This window comes from Homo sapiens, chromosome 1 (genome assembly GCF_000001405.40).
Source record: "Homo sapiens chromosome 1, GRCh38.p14 Primary Assembly".
NCBI lineage: Eukaryota > Metazoa > Chordata > Mammalia > Primates > Hominidae > Homo > Homo sapiens.
This window is the reverse complement of record NC_000001.11, coordinates 179,387,044-179,406,756: the sequence shown is the minus strand read 5'-3', so window position 1 is coordinate 179,406,756 and position 19,713 is coordinate 179,387,044. Positions and strand designations below refer to the sequence as shown.

General features: G+C 39.2%; 1 protein-coding gene across 22 annotated transcripts in view; it reads right to left on the bottom strand.

Moving 5' to 3' along the window:
* The window catches only part of AXDND1 (axonemal dynein light chain domain containing 1), a 189,031-nt gene that overhangs the window by 147,979 nt on the left and 21,339 nt on the right, over positions 1–19,713 (bottom strand). For 21 of the 22 annotated variants that reach the window (XR_921742.3, XR_921741.2, NR_073544.2 and 18 more), the window contains 2 exons: positions 12,714–12,854; positions 11,555–11,659 (listed from right to left, as the gene is read on the bottom strand). Coding sequence is in view for 19 of the 22 variants with exons in the window: in XM_011509168.2 (XP_011507470.1) it covers positions 11,555–11,659; positions 12,714–12,854 (246 nt within the window). In the remaining 3 variants the exon portion in view is untranslated. Of the gene's footprint in view, positions 1–11,554; positions 11,660–12,713; positions 12,887–19,713 lie in introns of all 22 variants that reach the window. The other variant, XM_017000258.2, reaches the window with a different exon arrangement.

Sequence of the window (19,713 nt, the reverse complement as noted above, 5' to 3'; positions counted from 1 at the left end):
TTCACTTGCGAAAACATATATAGCCTAAAAGTGAAGAGATGGAAAAAGACACTCTATGCAGACAGAAACCAAAGCAAGCAGGAGTACTTATACTTACATCAGATAAATCAGAATTTAAGTCAAAATCTATAAAAAGAGACAAAGAAGTTCATTATATGAAGATAAAGGGATCAATTCAGGAAAAGGATATAACAACTCTAAATATATATGCACCCAACCCTGGAGCACCCAGATGTATAAAGCAAACATTAGATCTAAAGAGACAGATGGAAGCTAATACAATAATGGTTGGGGCCTTCAAAACCCTACACTCAGCATTCAAAAGATCATCTAGACAGAAAGTTAACAAAGAAACATTGGATTTAAGCAATACTTTAGAACAAATGGACATTACAGGAATTTACAAAACATTTTATCCAACATCTGCAGAATACACATTCTTCTCATCAGCACATGGAACATTCTCCACAAGTGACCATATATTAGGCCACAAAATAAGTCTCAATACATATTTAAAAATTGGAAACATATCAAGTATCTTCTTGGACCACAATGAAGTAAAACTAGAAATTAATAACAAGAGAAACTTTGGAAACTGTACAAATATGTGGAAGTTAAACAACATGCTCCTGAATGATCACTGGGTCAGTAAATACATTAAGAAGAAAATTTTTAAATGTCTTGAAACAAATGAAGCACAAGGCCTATGGGATAATGCAAAAGTAGTGCTAAGAGGGAAGTTCATATTAATAAACACCTATATCAAAAGAGCAGAAAGATTTCAAATAAACAACCTAATGATTGTTTATTATTCCAGGAACTAGAAAAGAGAGAAAAAACAAAACCCAAAATTAGTAGAAAGAAACAAATAATAAATGTCAGAGCAGAAATAAATGAGAGAAACTAAAAAACTACAAAATATCAACAAAATAAAAAGTTAACTTTTTGAAAAAATAAACAAAATCAATAAACTTCTAGCTAGACTACCCAAGAAAAAAAGAGAGACGACTCAAGCAAATAAAATCAGAAACAAACAAACAAACAAAAAGAGATATAACTGATACCACTGAAATATAATCATGAACAACAATCCACTAACAAATTGGAATACCTAGAAGAAACTAGATATACTCCTGAACACATAAAACCTACAAAATTGAAACAGAAAACCTGAACAGACCAATAATGAGTAACAAGATTGAATCAGTAATTAAAAGTCTCCCAAAGAGTGTAAATTAGTTCAACCATTATGGAAGACGATGTGGCGTTTCCTCAAGGATCTGGAACCAGAAATACCTTTGACCCAGTAATCCCATTACTGGGTAGATACCAAAAGGATTATAAATCATTCTGCTATGAAAACACATGCACACGTATGTTTACTGCAGCATTATTTACAATAGCAAAGATTTGGAACCAACCCAAATGTCCATCAATGATAGACTGGATTAAGAAAATGTGGCACATATACACCATGGAATACTATGCAGCCATAAAAAGGATGAGTTCATGTCCTTTGCAGGGACATGGATGAAGCTGGAAACCATCATTCTCAGCAAACTAACACAAGAACAGAAAACCGAACACCGCATGTTCTCATTCATAAGTGGGAGTTCAACAATGAAAACACATGGACACAGGAAGGGGAACATCACACATCAGGCCTGTTGGGGGTTGGGGGGCAAGGGGAGGGAGAGCATTAGGACAAATACCTAATGCATGTGGGACTTAAAACCTAGATGATGGGTTGATGGGTGCAGCAAACCACCATGGCACATATATACCTATGTAACAAACCTGCACATTCTGCACATGTATCTCAGAACTTAAAGTATAATTAAAAAAAAAAAAGTCTCCCAACAAAGCAAAGCCCAAGACCAAATGGCTTTACTGCTGAATTGTACACAACTTAGAAAGAATAAACACCAATTCTTCTCAAATGATTCCAAAAAATTGAAGAGGAGGGAATTCTTCTTAACTGATTCTGCAAAGCCAACATTATTTTGATATCAAAACCAGACAAAGACACAACAACAAAAAAGAAAACTACAGACCAATATCATGGATGAACTTAGATGCAAAAATTCCAACAAAATACTAGCAAAGCAAATCCAACAACATATCAAAAAGATAATACACCATGATTAAGTGGGATTTATCCTGGGGATGCAAGGAGTTTGTTCAATAAACATATTTGAACATTTTTTGGAGATTTGTGACAACTTGATAAAGCTCAGCCAGGTGTGGTGGCTCACACCTGTAATTCCAGCACTTTGGGAGGGCGAGGCAGAGGGATCACCTGAGGTCAGGAGTTCGAGACCAGCCTGGCCAACACAGTGAAACCTCATCTCTACTAAAAATACAAAAATTAACTGGGTGTGGTGGCGGATGCCTGTACTCCCAGCTACTCAGGAGGCTGAGGCAGGAGAACTGCTTGAACCCAGGAGGCAGAGGTTGCAGTGAGCCAAGATTGTGCCACTGCACTCCAGCTTGGGCAACAGAGTGAGACTCCATCTCAAAAAAAAAAAAAAAGACAAAGAAAAAGCTCACAGATGAACACAGCCTAGAAATATCAAAAAATGAAGAAAAGTTAGCAATGTCATGAATAGATAAAATACACGTAGATACTGGTCTATTTTATCATTTACTACCATAAAATGTATTATAAAAAGCTAAAATTTATCAAAACTTACACAAACACTTACAGACCATACATGGCACATTCATAGTCAAGAGAAATGTTAACAAATGTACAGGTACAGTATTAAATCATAGTTGAATAAAATTAACTACAGTACATACGGTATTACTGTAATACTTTTGTAGCCACCTTCTGCTGCTATTGCAGTGAGCTCAAATATCCACTTAAAACACGATGTAGGCCGGGGGCAGTGGCTCATGCCTGTAATCTCAGCACTTTGGGATGCTGAGGCAGCAGGATCACATGAGGTCAGGAGTAGTTCCAGACCAGCCTGGCCAACATGGCAATACCCTGTCTCTACTAAAAATACAAAAATTAGCCGGGTGTGGTGGCACATGCCTGAAATCCCAGCTATTCAGGAGGCTGAGGCAGGAGAATCACTTGAATTCAGGAGGCGGAGGCTGCAGTGAGCCAAGATTGCACCACTGCACTCCAGCCTGGGCGACAGAGCGAGACTCTGTCTCAAAAAATAAAGTACCATATAATGTAATCATCACTGCATGAGTAGTTTGTATCTCCAGTCAATTGTGTATTGCAGTAAAAAGTGATCTCTCCCAGTTTTCACGTAATTTCCATCACGTTTAGTACAGTAACATAAACCTTGAATAACACCATGGTACCTATACGAAGTGTCAGTAGTAATGCTGAAAGTACAACCAAGAAGCAGAGAAGAGTCATGATGTCACAAGAAAAATTAAATGCTTGATATGTACTGTAGATTCAGGTCTGCAGTTGTAGTTACCCACCATTTCTGACAGACAAATTCGTCTTGTAAACAGATGATGTAAATGTACAATATCAATGAATACAGTACAGTACTATAAATGTATTTTCTCTTCCTTATGATTTTCTTAGTATTTTCTTTTCTCTAGCTTACTTTGTTGTAAAAATACATTATATAATATATATATAACATGCAAAATATGTGTTAATTGACTGTTTATCAGTAAGGTTTCCAGCCAACCATAGAATATTAGTGATTAAGTTCTGGGGACATCAAAAGTTATATGTAGGTTTTTGACTATGTGGGTTTCAGTGTCTCTAACCCCTACATTGTTCAACAGTCGACTGTATACTGAAAGACACTGTTTCAAGTAAGATTAACTGATCCATTGTGACAAATGCTGCTAGTAAGGCAAGTGAAATGAGAATTGATCATTGGATTTAGCAATATGAAGATCATAGGTGACTTTGTCAAGTGCCATTTAGTGGCATGGTAAGGATGAGACACAAGTGATAATGGCAAGAGAAGAAACAATAAAGACAATGAGTATGACAACTTTCTGTAGAGATTTCCTGTAAGGAGAGCAGAGAAAAGGGACCATAGCAGGAAGGGAAGGTGTAGTTCTAAGAGACCTGGGACATTTTTGTTTGTGTTTTTTGTTTTTAAGATGGGAGTAATTATAGCATATTTGCATACTGATGGGATTAATCAGCTAGAGAGGGAAAAATTAATGATGCAAAAAAGAGAAGGAACGTTTGCTGCAAGTTTCTCAAGTAAGTAACAGGGGATATGAAAGTATACAAACAAGAGATTGGCCTTAGAAAGGAGCAGACTATAGTTAACAAAAGGGAAAACGGAATATATAAGCACAGATGCAGGTGGGTGGATAGATGTGGGGGTGACAGCTTAAGTTCTCTTCTGTTTGCTTCTACTTCTTAGAAAGCAAGATCATCAGCTTATAAAGAGGGTGGAAAGGTAGGATTGAAGGTATAAGGATAGAAGACTAAGTATAGAAGTCACCTCGAAAAACAAGAAAGTTATACTACAGAAAAAAGTAGTATATAGAGTAGGCAAAAATTGAATAAAGTATCTCATGTTACATATTAGTCCATTTTCATGCTGCTGATAGACATACCCAAGACAGGGTGATTTTTTTTTTTTTTTTTTGAGACGGAGTCTCGCTCTGTTGCCAGGCTGGAGTGCATGATGTCGGCTCACTGCAACCTCCGCCTCCCAGGTTCAAGCAATTCTCCTGCCTCAGCCTCTTGAATAGCTGGGACTGCAGGCGCATGCCACCACGCACAGTTAATTTTTGTATTTTTAGTAGAGATGGGGTTTCACCACGTTGGCCAGGATGGTCTCTATCTCTTAACCTCGTGATCCGCCTGCTTCAGCCTCCCAAAGTGCTGGGATTACAGGCTTGAGCCACCTTGCCCGGCCCCGAGACTGAATAATTTATAAAGGAAAAGAGGTTTAATGTACTCACAGTTCCACGTGGCTGGGGAGGCCTCACAATCATGGTGGAAGGTGAAAGGCCCCTCTTACATAGCGGCAGGCAAAGAGAGAATGAAAGCCAAGCAAAAGGGGTTTCCCCTTATAAAACAATCAGGTCTCGTGAGACTTACTACCACGAGAACAGTACAGGGAAACCACCCCCACGATTCAATTATTTCCCCCCAAGTCCCTCCCACAACACGTGGGAATTATGGTAGCTAAAATTTAAGACAATATTTGGGTGGGGACACAGCCAAACCATATTATGCTAGTAAAGAATAAAATAGAATAAAAGTAAAAATACATTTCTGAATTTAGATCTTAGGTACATTTGGTTTTTCTTGACATTTAAAAAATTCAATCACTCTTCAATCAATTTTTTAGAAAGCACAGGAATAGGCTGTATTAAAAGAGATATAAAACAAGATGTAATGTGTGTTCTTAGATTGGATACTGGTTTGGCTAACCCAACTATGAAATGTATTTTGGAAAAACTTGGTAAAATTTTAATATCTAGCTAATTTATGAAGTAAAAATTTACTGAAATAGGCAGACGTTCTTTTTTTTTTTTTTTTTTTTGAGATGGAGTTTTGTTCTTGTTGCCCAGGCTGAAGCACAATGGCACAACCTCAGCTCACCGCAATCTCTGCCTCCCAGGTTCAAGCGATTCTCCTGCCTCAGCCTCCCAAGTAGCTGGGATTACAGGCATGTGGCACCACACCTGGCTAATTTTGTATTTTTAGTAAAGAAAGGGTTTCTCCATGTTGGTCAGGCTGGTCTCGAACTCCCGACCTCAGCTGATCCACCCGCTTTGACCTCCCAAAGTGCTGGGATTACAGGTGTGAGCCACCGCACCTGGCCGTACACATTCTTTTTATCATTTGTTTGTTTCTGTGTCCTTTTTTTTTTCTTTTTTTTTTTTTTTTTTTTTTTGAGACAGAGTCTCGCTCTGTTGCCCAGGCTGGAGTGCAGTGGCATGATCTCGGCTCACTGCAAACTCTGCCTCCTGGGTTCACGCCATTCTCCTGCCTCACCCTCCCAAGTAGCTGGGACTACAGGCGCCTGCCACCATGCCCGGCTAATTTTTTTTGTATTTTCAGTAGAAACGGGGTTTCACTGTGTTAGCCAGGATGGTGTTGATCTCCTGACCTCGTGATCTGCCCACCTTGGCCTCCCAGAGTGCTGGGATTACAGGTGTTAGCCACCACACCTGGCCATCTTCTCTTTTTTTTTTTTTATTTCTTCCCTAATTTTTAAATTTTATTTTTCCATAAGTTATTGGGGTACAGGTGGTATCTGATTACATGAGTAAGTTCTTTAGTGGTGATTTGTGAGATTTTGGAGCACCCATCACTCGAGCAGTATACACAGCACCATATTTGTGGTATTTTATCCCTCATCCCCCTCCCACTCTTTCCCCCAAGTCCCCAAAGTGTATTATTCTTATGCCTTTGCATCCTCCTAGCTTAACTCCCACGTATCAGTGAGAACATACAATGTTTGGTTTTCCACTCCTGAGTTACTTCACTTAGAATAATGGTCTCCAATCTCATCCAGGTCACTGCAAATGCCATTAATTCATTCCTTTTTATGGCTGAGTGGTATTCCATCATATATATATATACACCACAGTTTTTTTATCCACTCGTTGATTGATGGGCATTTGGGTTGGTTCTACGATTTTGCAATTGTGAATTGTGCCACTATGAACATGCCCATGCAAGTATCTTTTTCATATAATGACTTCTTTTCCTCTGGGTAGATACCCAGTAGTGAGATTGCTGGATCAAATGGTAGTTCTACTTTTAGTTCTTTAAGGAATCTCCACACTGTTTTCCACAGTGGGTGTATTAGTTTACATTCCCACCAGCAGTGTAGAAGTGTTCCCTAATCACTGCATCCATGGCAACATCTGATTTTGATTTTTTGATTATAGCCATCCTTGCAGGAGTAAGGTGGTACTGCATTGTGGTTTTGATTTGCATTTCCCTTATCATTAGTGATGTTGAGCATTTTTTCATATGTTTGTTGCCCATTTGTATATCTTCTTTTGAGAATTGTCTATTCATGTCCTTTGCCCACTTTTTGACGTGATTGTTTGTTTTTTCTTACCGATTTGTTTGAGTTCATTGTAGATTCTGGATATTAGTCCTTTGTCAGATGTATAGATTGTGAAGATTTTCTCCCATTCTGTGGGCTGTCTGTTTACTCTGCTGACTGTTCCTTTTGCTGTGCAAACACTCTTTAGTTTAATTAGGTCCCAGATATATATCTTTGTTTTTATTGCTTTTGCTTTTGGGTTCTTGGTCATGAAATCCTTGCCTAAGCCAATGTCTAGAAGGGTTTTCCAATGTTATGTCTAGAATTTTTATAGTTTCAGGTCTTAGATTTAAGTCCTTAGTTCATCTTGAGTTGATTTTTGTATAAGGTGAGAGATGAGGATCTGGTATCATTCTCCTACATGCGGTTAGCCAATTATCCCAGCACCATTTATTGAAAAGGGTGTCCTTTCCCCACTTTATGTTTTTGTTTGCTTTGTTGAAGATCAATTGGCTGTAAGTATTTGGGTTTATTTCGGGATTCTCTATTCTGTTCCATTAGTCTACGTGCCTATTTTTATACCAGTACCACACTGTTTTGGTGACTATAGCCTGAAATAGGTCGACATTCTTAACTGAAAAAATGTTGATTGTAGAATAGTGCATACAATACAATTTTGGTTTTAACTATACATATACATGTGAGTACATGTACACAGAAACAAGACCCATAGCACCAGCCTGCCTGCTTCCTCCCAATACTGCAGCTTCCCCCAGGCCCACAGCAATGCCCCACATCACTTTGCTGGCCCATGTGTGTGCAGGCATGTTTTGCTTTCCTTGCCTCACCAGCATGCATGTGTGCATACACCCTGCCCTGCCACTGATATGGCAGTAGTACATTCTGCCCTTCCACACCCTCCCCCCAACCCCTGCCACAAGGCTTTGATCCATTACAGTGACAGCCTTGGTGGGCAGACACCCAGCCAGTCCCACCCCCACAAGCACCCTGCCCTTAGTGGCAACACTCCTCCAAGAGTAAAACTAAGCTCAGAGAACAGTGGACTCTCCCCTGCCCTGAGTGACCACCCCTGCCTGCAGCTCACAGAGAATGCACATAGACCTGCATCTGCCAGAGCCTTGCCCCCATGCTAAGACCACCACCAGCACAACTGTGCACACAGTTGCCAGCAGGGGCCCCCCAACCCTCTTCCAGCTGTGCTGCCTCCACTCTGTGGTGACACCCACATGGAAGCAGGCACCCCAGCACCTGTTGCAGCCAATGAGAATGCACCCCCACAACATTGCCACTACTGCTGCTGCTGACACATGAAAACAAGGGCAGATCCCACTGCCACAGCACTATGAAAGGCTTTGGCTGACACCACCCAACAGAGTGTAGTGACCAGTGGTCCAGGAGCACCTCAGCTCCCCCCAGTGCAGTGGATTCCTAACCTCAAGGAGCAGAGAACAAAGCTGGTCCCAATACAAGTCCCCCAGAGTTGGAGTACACGGTCCAGGAGTTGGAAGCTGAGCGTTGGCCCCCTAGAATCTTCCAGAAATAAAGCCAGTTGGTTGAATCCATTTTATACCACAATCAAACTCTCGATGTCATCATATAGGATAAAAGGGGAAAAAAACACCCAAACATCAGCAACTTCAAAGATGAAACAAACATCAGCCCACAAATATGAGAAAAAAACAACACAAGGACTCTGACAACTCAAAAAGCCAGAGTGCCTTCTTTCCTCCAAATGATCGCACCACCTCTCCAGCAAGGGTTCTGAACTGGGCTGAGATGGCAGAAATGACACAAACAGAATTCATGCTATGGATAGGAATGAAGATCATTAAGATGCAGGAGTATGCTGAAACCCAATTCAAGGATGCTATGAATCACAATAAAATGATAAAGGAGCTGACAGACAAAATAGCCAGTATAAAAAAGACTGTAACTGGGCTGATAGAGCTGAAAAAATGTTCTACAATAACTTCATAATGCAATTACAAGTATTAATAGCAGAATAAACCAAGTTGAAGAAAGAATCTCAGAACTTGAAGACTGGTTTTCTGAAATAAGAGAGTCAGACAAGAATAGAGAAAAAAGAATAAAAAGGAATGAACAAAACCTTGGAGAAATGTGGGATTATGTAAAGATACCAAATCTATGACTCATTGATGTCCCTGAAAGAGATAGGGTGAGTGTAAGCAACTTGGAAAACATATTTTAGGGTATCATCCATGAGGATTTCCCCAACGTAGGTAGAGAGACCAACATTCAAATTCAGAAAATGCAGAAAACCCTAGTACAATACTTCACAAGAAGATCATCCTCAAGGCACATAATCATCAGATTCTCAAAAGTCAAAATAAAAGAAAAAAGGTTAAAGGCATCTAGAAAGAAAAGTCAGGTCACCTACAAAAGGAAGCCCATCAGACTAACAGTGGACCTCTCAGCAGAAACCCTACAAGCCGTAAGAGATTGGAAGCCAATATTCAACATTCTTTAAAAAAAGAAATTCCAACCCAGAATTTTATATATGTCCAAACTAAGCTTCATAAGTGAAGGGGAAATAAGATCCTTTATAGACAAGCAAGTGCTGAGAAAATTCATTACCACCAGATCTGCCTTAAAAGAGCTCCTGAAGGAAGCACTAAATATGGAAAGGAAAGACCATTACCAGCTGCTATTAAAAAACACATAAGTACACAGACCAGTGACACTATGAAGCAACCACACAAACAAGTCTGCATTATAACCAGCTAACATGATGACAGGATCAAATCTATATATATCTTTACTGGTTTACCTTAAATGTAAATGGGCTAAATGTCCTGATTAAAAGGCACAGAGTTGCAGGCTGGATAAAGAAACAAGACCCATTGGTATGCTATCTTCAAGAGACTCATCTCACATGCAATGACACCCATATGCTCAAAATAAAGGGATGGAGAAAAATCTACCAAGCAAATGGAAAAATCCATTCTGAGTGATTGATACATAAATTATACATTAATACATAAATTATAATTTAGTCATATGGTTAATATTATAGTGCAGAAATATTTGTTCTATATGCATCATAACGAGAAGATCTCAAAAGAATAGTATTTAGTTGGTAAAAGCAAGTTTTTTTTTTTTTGAGATGGAGTCTTGCTCTGTCGCCCAGGCTAGAGTGCTGGAGTGCAGTGGCGCAGTCTCGGCTCACTGCAACCTCCGCCTCCTGGGTTCAAGCAATTCTCCTGCCTCAGCCTCCCAAGTAGCTGGGACTACAGGTACGTGCCACCATGTCAGCTAATTTTTTGTATTTTTAGTAGAGACAGGGTTTCACCGTGTTGGCCAGGATGGTCTCGATCTCCTGACCTCATCATCCACCCACCTCGGCCTCCCAAAGTGCTGAGATTACAGGCGTGAGCCACTGTGCCCAGCCGCAAATTTTTTTATATGTAACTATGTATTATAGTAAAATATAAAAACATGGATAGGAAAGTTACATACCAACTATTGATTAGTGATTAACTCTGGGGAGGGAAGAAGCAGAATGGAGATATATAGAGATACAGACATAGATATAGATGTATTTTTTTAAATCTCCAAATATTTTTCTTTTTTTTTTTTTTTCTTTTTATGGGACAGAATCTCACTCTGTCACCCAGGCTGGAGTGCAGTGGCACAAACTCAGCTCACTGCAACCTCTGCCTCCTGGGTTCAAGCAATTCTCATGCCTCAGCCTTCCACGTAGCTAGGATTACAGGCAAGCACCTCCACCTCCAGCTAATTTTTGTATTTTTAGTAGAGATGGGGTTTTGCCATGTTGGCCAGGCTAGTCTCAAACTCTCAACCTCAGGTGATCCACCTGCCTCAGCCTCCCAAAGTGCTGGGATTACAGGCGTGAACCACCATGCCTGGCCTAAATCTCCAAATATTTCTATAAAATTTTGTTTCCTAAAAATGGGGTGTGAAACAAGTATGACATAATGGCTGACATTTGGTAATTCATGAAAGGTAAATGAGTACTCACTATAATGCTTTCTTTTTCTGAATGTCTGAAATATTTCATGACATAAAATTTCATTAAAAGCAACCATTATAAGAATATTTCATATTGTCATAGCACTGACTATATGCCAAGCACCATTCTAAGTGCTTTACTTATATTACTTCCTTTAATACTCGTAATAACCTATGAGGTAGGTAATATTATTATCCCAATTTTACATATGGGCAAACTTAGGCCCAGAAAAGTTAAGTGACTTCCCAAAGGTCACACAGCAAACAGTATGGTTCCAGAATCTATGTTATCTATGCTCACTGTTTCTTTACCCTTTCTTTTAGAAAACCAGAAAGTAATAGCCTGCAATCCTCACTCAATGAAAATGATTAATGCAGAAAGCAACGGTCTATCTCCAAGAGAAAAAATCATGTTTTACCTTCTTTGCACCCAGAATGAGAAATCAACTAAATTCAGATAAAGTAAGCTATCTATATGTGATTTTAGAATTCAAGAAGTTATAGTATCATATATATTATTTCAGAAGCTATATAAGCTTCTTCCTTTTCCCCTATGTAAGCTAAACAAACTTTAAGCAACTCACTTGGCATTCTTTTCCGCATTTAAAAGAGCTTGTGCCAAATCCTTGTGGGCTTTTTCTGTTTCCTTTGTTAATTTCACATCATGTGCCCGAACTAGACACAGTTCCCTGAAATAAAGCAAAGAAATTTTTAATTCATATTTGGAGATTTCCAAAAAGTTTCTACCAAGAAAATCAGATTTATATTCAGGAATCTTCTCAGTTATCATGTGTACCTCCCTTCCCAGTTTTTCCACCTTATAAACCAAATCAAGAAATTGAGTGTACATTCTAGATGGAATCTTGCCAGGTTTGGAAATGAAATCAGGCTGGCAGGAATCAGACAGAAATAAGATGTAGGGGAGATCCTTTAGAATGGAGGGAGGCAGATGCTGACATGCAAGGCCGCCATGCTGGTCTACCCTGCTTTCTGATATGACTATCCTATCTTCTTTATTCTCACCACTAACCATCTTGCTTCAAGGTTAAAAGTTAGATGATCACTAACTTTGATGGCTATATGATACTTATTCTCTTTGAGATGTTAACATCCATAATGTTAACATCCATAATTATGGCACTGTTCTATAAACCTGATTAAGGTAAACATCTGTATTTTATTTTATTTTATTTTTCTGAGACAGGGTCTCGCTCCGTCACCCAGGCTAGAGTGCAGTGGCATGATCTTGGCTCACTGCAACCTCCACCTCCCGGGTTCAAGTGATTCTCCTGCCTCAACCTCCCCAGTAGTTGGGATTATAGGCATGTGCCACCACGCCTGTCTAATTATTTGTATTTTTAGTAGAGATGGGGTTTCACCATGTTGGCCAGGCTGGTCTCAAACTCCTGACCTCAAGTGATCCTCCCGCCTCAGCCTCCCAAAGTGCTGGGATTACAGGTGTGAGCCACCATGCCCAGCAACATCTATATTTTAGAAGAAAGAGTAAGTCTTTTCCATGTCAAATATATACAGAGTCTTCATTTTTATGTGAACTTGCATAACCCATTTATCTATATCTATATCTACAATGACATCTAGTTCTTTTTGTTCTCTTGCTAAACATGAAAAGGAAACAGAAGAACCTTGGCCTTTAACCATTCCACTTTCCCTAAATATTTTTTACTCCCTTTAGAGACATGACATTGACTTTTGTTTTGTGTTTAAGATAATCACAGTTTTTACCTGGTCAGTTCTTCAATAACATGCTTGAAATTATACAATTCTTCTAAAATGCGCTGGTCCATCACTCGCTGAGTTACCAAGTCTTTGTAGAAATCAATCATCTGCCGAGCAATCTGGTCAAGCATTTGCACATACCTCTCTCTGCATGACAAACAACCAAAAAGCTCCTAGATCTGATAAATGAATTTAGTAAATTCTCAGGTTACAAAATCAATGTACACAAATCAGTAGCACTGCTATACACCAAGAAAACCAAGCTGAGAATCAAATCAAGAAATCAATCCCTTTTACAACAGCTGCAAAAAAAAAGAAAAAGAAAAAGAAAAGAAAATACTTAGGAATATACTTAACCAAGGAGACGAAAGATCTCTACAAGAAAAACTACAAAACACTATTGAAAAAACATTGCATGTGACACAAACAAATGGAAACACATCCCATGTTCATGGATGGGTAGAATCAATATTGTGAAAATGACCATACTGCCAAACTCAATCTACAGATTCCATGCAATTCCCACCAAAAATACCATCATCATTCTTCACAGAACTGGAAAAAAAAAATCCTAAAATTCATATGGAACCAAAAAAGACCCCACATAGCCAAAGAAATACTAAACAAAAAGAATAAATCTGGAAACATCACATTACCTGACTTCAAACTATACTACAAGGCTATAGTTACCAAAACAGCATGGTACGGGTATAAAAATAGGCACATAGACCAACGGAACAGACTAGAGAATCCAGAAATAAACTCAGATACTTACAGCCAACTGATCTGCAACAAAGCATACAAAAACATAATGTGGGGAAAGGACACCCTTTTCAACAAATGGTGCTGGGATAATTGGCAAGCCATATGTAGAAGAATGAAACTGGATCCTCATCTCACACCTCATACAAAAGTCAACTCAAGATGGATCAAAGACTTAAAGACCTGAAACCATAAAAATTCTAGAAGATAACATCAGAAAAACTCTTCTAGACATTGGCTTAGGCAAAGAATTCATGACCAAGAACCCAAAAGCAAATGCAACAAAAACAAAAATAAATAGATGGGACCTAATTAAACTAAAGAACTTCTGCACAACAAAAGAAATAATCAGCAGGTTAAACAGACAACCCACAGAGAGGGAGAAAATATTCATAAACTATGCACCTGGCAAAGGACTAGTACCCAAAATCTACGATGAACTCCAACAAATCAGCAAGAAAAAAACAGATAATTTCACCAAAAAGTGGGCAAAGGACATGAATAGACAATCCTCAAAAGAAGATATACAAACAGGCAACAAACATGAAAAAATACTCAACATCACTAATTATCAAGAAAATGCAATTTAAAACTACAATGAAATATCACCCTACTACTGCAAGAATGGCCATAATTTAAAAAATCAAAAATAAATGTCAGCTTGGATGTGGTGAAAAGAGAACACTTTTACACTGCTGGTGGGAATGTAAACTAGTACAACCACTATGGAAAACAGTATGGAGATTCTTCAAAGAACTAAAAGTAGAACTACCATTCAATCTAACAATCCCACTACTGGGTATCTACCCACAGGAAAATAAGTCATTATATGAAAAAGACACATGCACATGCATGTTTACAGTAGCACAATTTGCAACTGCAAAAATATGGAACCAACCTAAATGTCCATCAAGCAATGAGTGGATAAAGAAAATGTGGTATATACACACTATGGAATACTACTTAGCTATAAGATGAAATGAAATAATGGCATTTGCAGCAACTTGGTTGGAGTTTGAGACCATTATTCTAAATGAAGTAACTCAGGAATGGAAAACCAAATATTGTATGTTCTCACTTATAAATAGGAGCTAAGCTATGAGGATGCGAAGGCATAAGAATGATATAATGGACTCTGGGGTCTGAGGAGGAAGATTAGGATGGGGGTGAGGAATAAAGACTACATATTTGGTACAGTGTACACTGCTCAGCGGGTGATGGGTTATATTAGTCCATTCTCACAGCGCTATAAGGATATACCCAAGACAGGGTAATTTATAAAGGAAAGAGATTTAATTGACTCTCAGTTCCACAGAGCTGGGGAGGCCTCAGGAAACTTACAATCATGGCAGAAGGGAAAGCAAACATGTCCTTCTTCACATGGCAGCAGGAAGGAGAAGAATGAAAGCCCAGAAAAGGAAGAAGCCCTTTATAAAACTATCAGATCTCTGGCCAGGCACAGTGACTCATGCCTGTAATCCCAGCACTTTGGGAGGCTGAGACAGGTGAATCACCTGAGGTCAGGAGCTTGAGACTAGCCTGGCCAACACAGTGAAACCCTCTCTCTACTAAAAATACAAAAAATTAGCTGGGCATGGTAATGCATACTTGTAATCCTAGCTACTTGGGAGGCTGAGGCAGGAGAATCACCTGAACCCAGGAGCTGGAGGTGGCAGTGAGCTGAGATTGCGCCACTGCACTACAGCCTGGGCAACAGAGTGAGACTCCATCTCAAAAATAAATAAATAAATAAGTAAATAAATAAATAAATAAATAAAATCATCAGATCTCATGAGAACTAATTCACTATCACAAGAACAGAATGAGGGAAACGGCCCTCATGACTCAACCATCTCTACCTGGTCCCTTCCACAACATGTGGGGATTATGGCAACAACAATTCAAGATGAGATTTGGATGGGGACACAGCCAAACCATACCACGAGTACACCAAAAATCTCAGAAATCACCACTCAAGAACTTATCTGTGTAACCAAAAACCACCTGTTCTCCAAAAACTATTGAAATAAAATAAGAGAAACAAGGTATCATGCAGAAGGAAAGGAAAAAAAGATAGAAAATATGCAAGAGAGAAAGTAATGTTAGGCAATAAAATAGTAAACAGACATTCCAAAAGATATGTGAGATGAACAATATAGGAAAAAAAAAAAAAAAAGAAGAAGTCTGGCCTCAGTGGCTCACGCCTGTAATCCCAACACTTTGGGGGCCCGAGGTGGGTGGATCACCTGATGTCGGGAGTTTGAGACCAGCCTGACCAACATGGATAAACCCTATCTCTACTAAAAATACAAAATTAGCCAGGTGTCATGGTGCATGCCTATAATCCCAGCTACTCAGTAGGCTGAGACAGGAGAATCACTTGAACCTGGGAGGCAGAGGTTGCAGTGAGCCAAGATTGCACCATTGCGCTCCAGCCTGGGCAACAAGATCGAAACTCCATCTCAAAAAAATAAATAAATAAAAAATAAAAAGCACAGAAGCAGAATGCTGTGGCTTCATTAAAAAAGAAAAAAAAAGGAATCTAGGCTGTGTTTTCCTGCCATGCCATACAAGTGAGTGAACAATTGTAGAAAATTGTAGAGCCCTAATTATTTGGAATATCATATGTTAGACGTAAAACAAAAATAAAAACTTGTTTTATTCCTTCTTCTAGATATAAATTCTTTGAGACTAGAAACGATGTCTTACATATTTGTATTTTTACAACATCTAACAGCATGACTTAACGTATAGTGAGATTCTTATAAATAGTTAAATTCATGAATAAAGCCATTTTTTCAAATTGACAACATGTAAAACGACAACTATTTAAACACAAACAAAAATCTTTAATACAAAGAAGTCATTTCTTTTGCTTCTGAATAAAACCAAACAAAATATTTGGAAGTGATCACAGATGATAAATTATAAATACCATAACAGAATAGTATTCATTTATATTAACAGTGATCTAGGCCAGGCGTGATGGCTCACACCTGTAACCTCAGCACTCTGGGAGACCGAGGCAGGTAGATCACTTGAGGCCAGGAGTTCAAGACCAGCCTAGCCAACATGGAAAAACCTTGTATCTACTAAAAATACAAAAATTAGTGTGGCATAGTGGCACATGCCTATAATCCCAGCTACTTGGGTGGCTGAGACACAAGAATCACTTGAGCCTGGGAGGCAGAGGTTGCAGTGAGCAGAGATCTCACCACTGCACTCCAGCCTGGGTGACAGAGCAAGACTGTCTTAAAAAAAAAAAAAAAACTGATCTAGGTGTTACACCCTAAGCCTGAGGTCCTAGATTTGTAATATGTCTGAGTTGACTGGTCGTTTAATCTTTCATTCATTGACAGAAAGAATTATCCAGCCCTTGCTTTAAGGCTGAAAGTGGCAGGGAGTTTATCACCTCAAGATGCAGCTCATATATTGGAAATATCAATTTAAAAAACATCATCTTTAGGATTTCCCCCTCCTGACAATATAGGAACTAAATACTCTGAAGGACCTTCCCATTACAATCCAACTAGATCCATAAGAGAACACACTTTTCAAAGCATTACTGAGTTTGCAGGAAGAAACAGAAGACTCTAGGGATGAAAAACAATAAGAACAAACAAAAAATAGTAAGTTAGAAATGGAGTGGGAGTTGTAAGCAGTAAGCAAACCCAAGGTCAGGATGGTCCCCAGGAAAATACCAACACTGAGAACCAGAGACTAAGCCTTGGGCTGACTTCAAAGTGGGAGACGTGGGCAAGTGTAGGACTACTGCATGAATCCCAGATTCCAGAAGGGAGCACATACAAATCTTCTTTTTCCAGAAAGCATCCTGGATTCATGCCCTGAGGATCCCATGGCCAAGGTCAGTGAAATATTAGCTCCACAAGCAAAGGCTGCAAAATACTAATGTAAATAAACCACCATGAATGAGACTCAGAAGAAATAACCAATAGCAGATTTTATAAGACTACGCATGAAATGTTTGAGAAATAAAAGTTAGAATCTAAAAATGGGCTGGGCATGGTGGCTCACACCTGTAGTCCCAGCACTTTGTGGGGCTGAAGTGGGCAGACCACCTGAAATTAGGAGTTCGAGACCAGCCTGGCCAACATGGTGAAACCCCGTCTCTACTAAAAATGCAAAATTAGCCAGGCATGGTGGCGCATGCCTGTAATCCCAGCTACTCAGGAGGCTGAGGCGGGAGAATCACTTGAATGCGGAGGTGGAGGTTGCAGTGAGCTGAGATCGTGCCATTGCACTGTAGCCTGGGTGACGAGTGAAACTCCATCTCAAAAAAAAAAAAAAAAAGAATCTAAAAATGAATAAGCAATAAAATTATTATATTTGATGAGACAAACGTGGAAACAAACCAACAAAACTCTTAAGGGAGGCCAGGCACAGTGGCTCACACCTGTTATCCCAGCACTCTGGGAGGCTGAGGTGGGCGGATCGCTTGAGGCCAGGAGTTCAAGACTAGCCTGGCCAATATGGCGAACCCTGTCTCTACTAAAAATACAAAAAAAAAAAAAAATAGCCAGGCATGGTGGTGTGTGCCTGTAGTCCCAGCTACTTGGGAGGCTAAGGCACAAGAATCACTTGAACCCGAGAGTCAGAGGTTGCAGTAAGCCAAGATCGTGCCACTGCACTGCAGCCTGGGCCACAGCGAGATCCTGTCTCAAAAAAAAAAATCTCTTAGGGGAAAAATATAATTGTTGAGTTAATAATAGATGGGTTATAGCATAATAGACACACCTAGAGAAGACAGTAATGTCCTAGAACAAATTACTCAAAATGTAGGACAGAGACAAGAGGGAAACTATGAAAAAGAGATTAAGAGACAAAGAAGACAGAATGAGAATATCTAACATATATCTAATCAAAGCTCCAGAAACAGAAGACAGAATGCAGTACAGACATGAGTCAAAGATCATCACTGATAATTTCCCAACACTTCTGAAAGACATTAATCTATATAGTGAATTATGGTATAGATATAGGTACAGGAAATATAAAAAGAAATCCAGAGGAACTAAATTTACTTTCCTACCTGAAGTGACAACAACAAAACAAGGACAAAGAATAGGAAACCATTTTTAAGACACTGGATATCAGGCAATGAAAGAGAGTGATCCCTGAGAGACCAGAAATAAATAAAGCAAACCCTACAATTGTGCCAGCCTAATGCCTTGGGAGAGTTTTCCAGGCCATAGCACACTGAGAGGGAATCCAGGAAGACCCCAGTTGACTCTCTGAGTTAAGGAGACAGAGTTAACAGTCTAGAGAGATGAAAGCAGCTAGAGTTCAGAGGACAGAGTAGCAGAGAGAAAAGAGTTATACAAGATATGCAGAAGATCTCCCTCAAGTGTTCAGCTAAGTACTGATCAGGGCATAAATGTGAGAAAACTACCCAAGACCAAGGAAAGAACTACCCAAAAGGATCAGAGGTAAGAATGCCAGAACTCGCATAGAAGTAGTACCAGTACCAACCAACCAGACTGTAAAAACTCATGATTCATGGGACATTGGATATGGTACACAGAAAAGTTTTGTCTTGGTATTCAGAAATAATTAGCCCTAAATTGGGCACTGCTCTTGTCCCACCTAAAGACCTAACAGGATCAAATTTTTTTAAATAACTTAATTGTGTCCCAAAACAAAGCTAACGAATATTTGTATGAAAACAAAAATATACAGCATCCAAATAAGGCATAATTCATGACTGCCATCCAATCAAAATTACTGCTAGGTTTAAATGTTTCTCCCCTCATAACTAGTGTTGAAATTTAATTGTTATTATAACAGTATTAAGAGGTGGACCTTTCAGGAGGTGTTTAAGTCGTGAGGGCTCTGCCCTGATAAATGGACTAATGCCATTATTGCAGGAATGGGGTCATTATCGCACAAGTGGACCCACTCCCTCTTTCTCTCTCTCTCACCCTCTCACTTTCTGTCATGTTATGATTACCACAAGAAGGTTCTCACCAGATGATGGCACCTTTGTACACTGCACTTCCCAGCTTCCCAAACTGTGAGCCAATAAATCTCTGCTCATTATAAATTACCCCCCGTCTGTGATATTCTGTTATAGCAGCACAAGGCAGACTAAGACAATTACTAAACATGTAAAGAAGCAGGAAAACACACCTATGAGGAGAAAAATCAATGAATCAAAACTGACCCAGAACCAAAATAGACGGTAGAATTAACAGACAAAACCACTAAAAGTTATCTAACTACATTC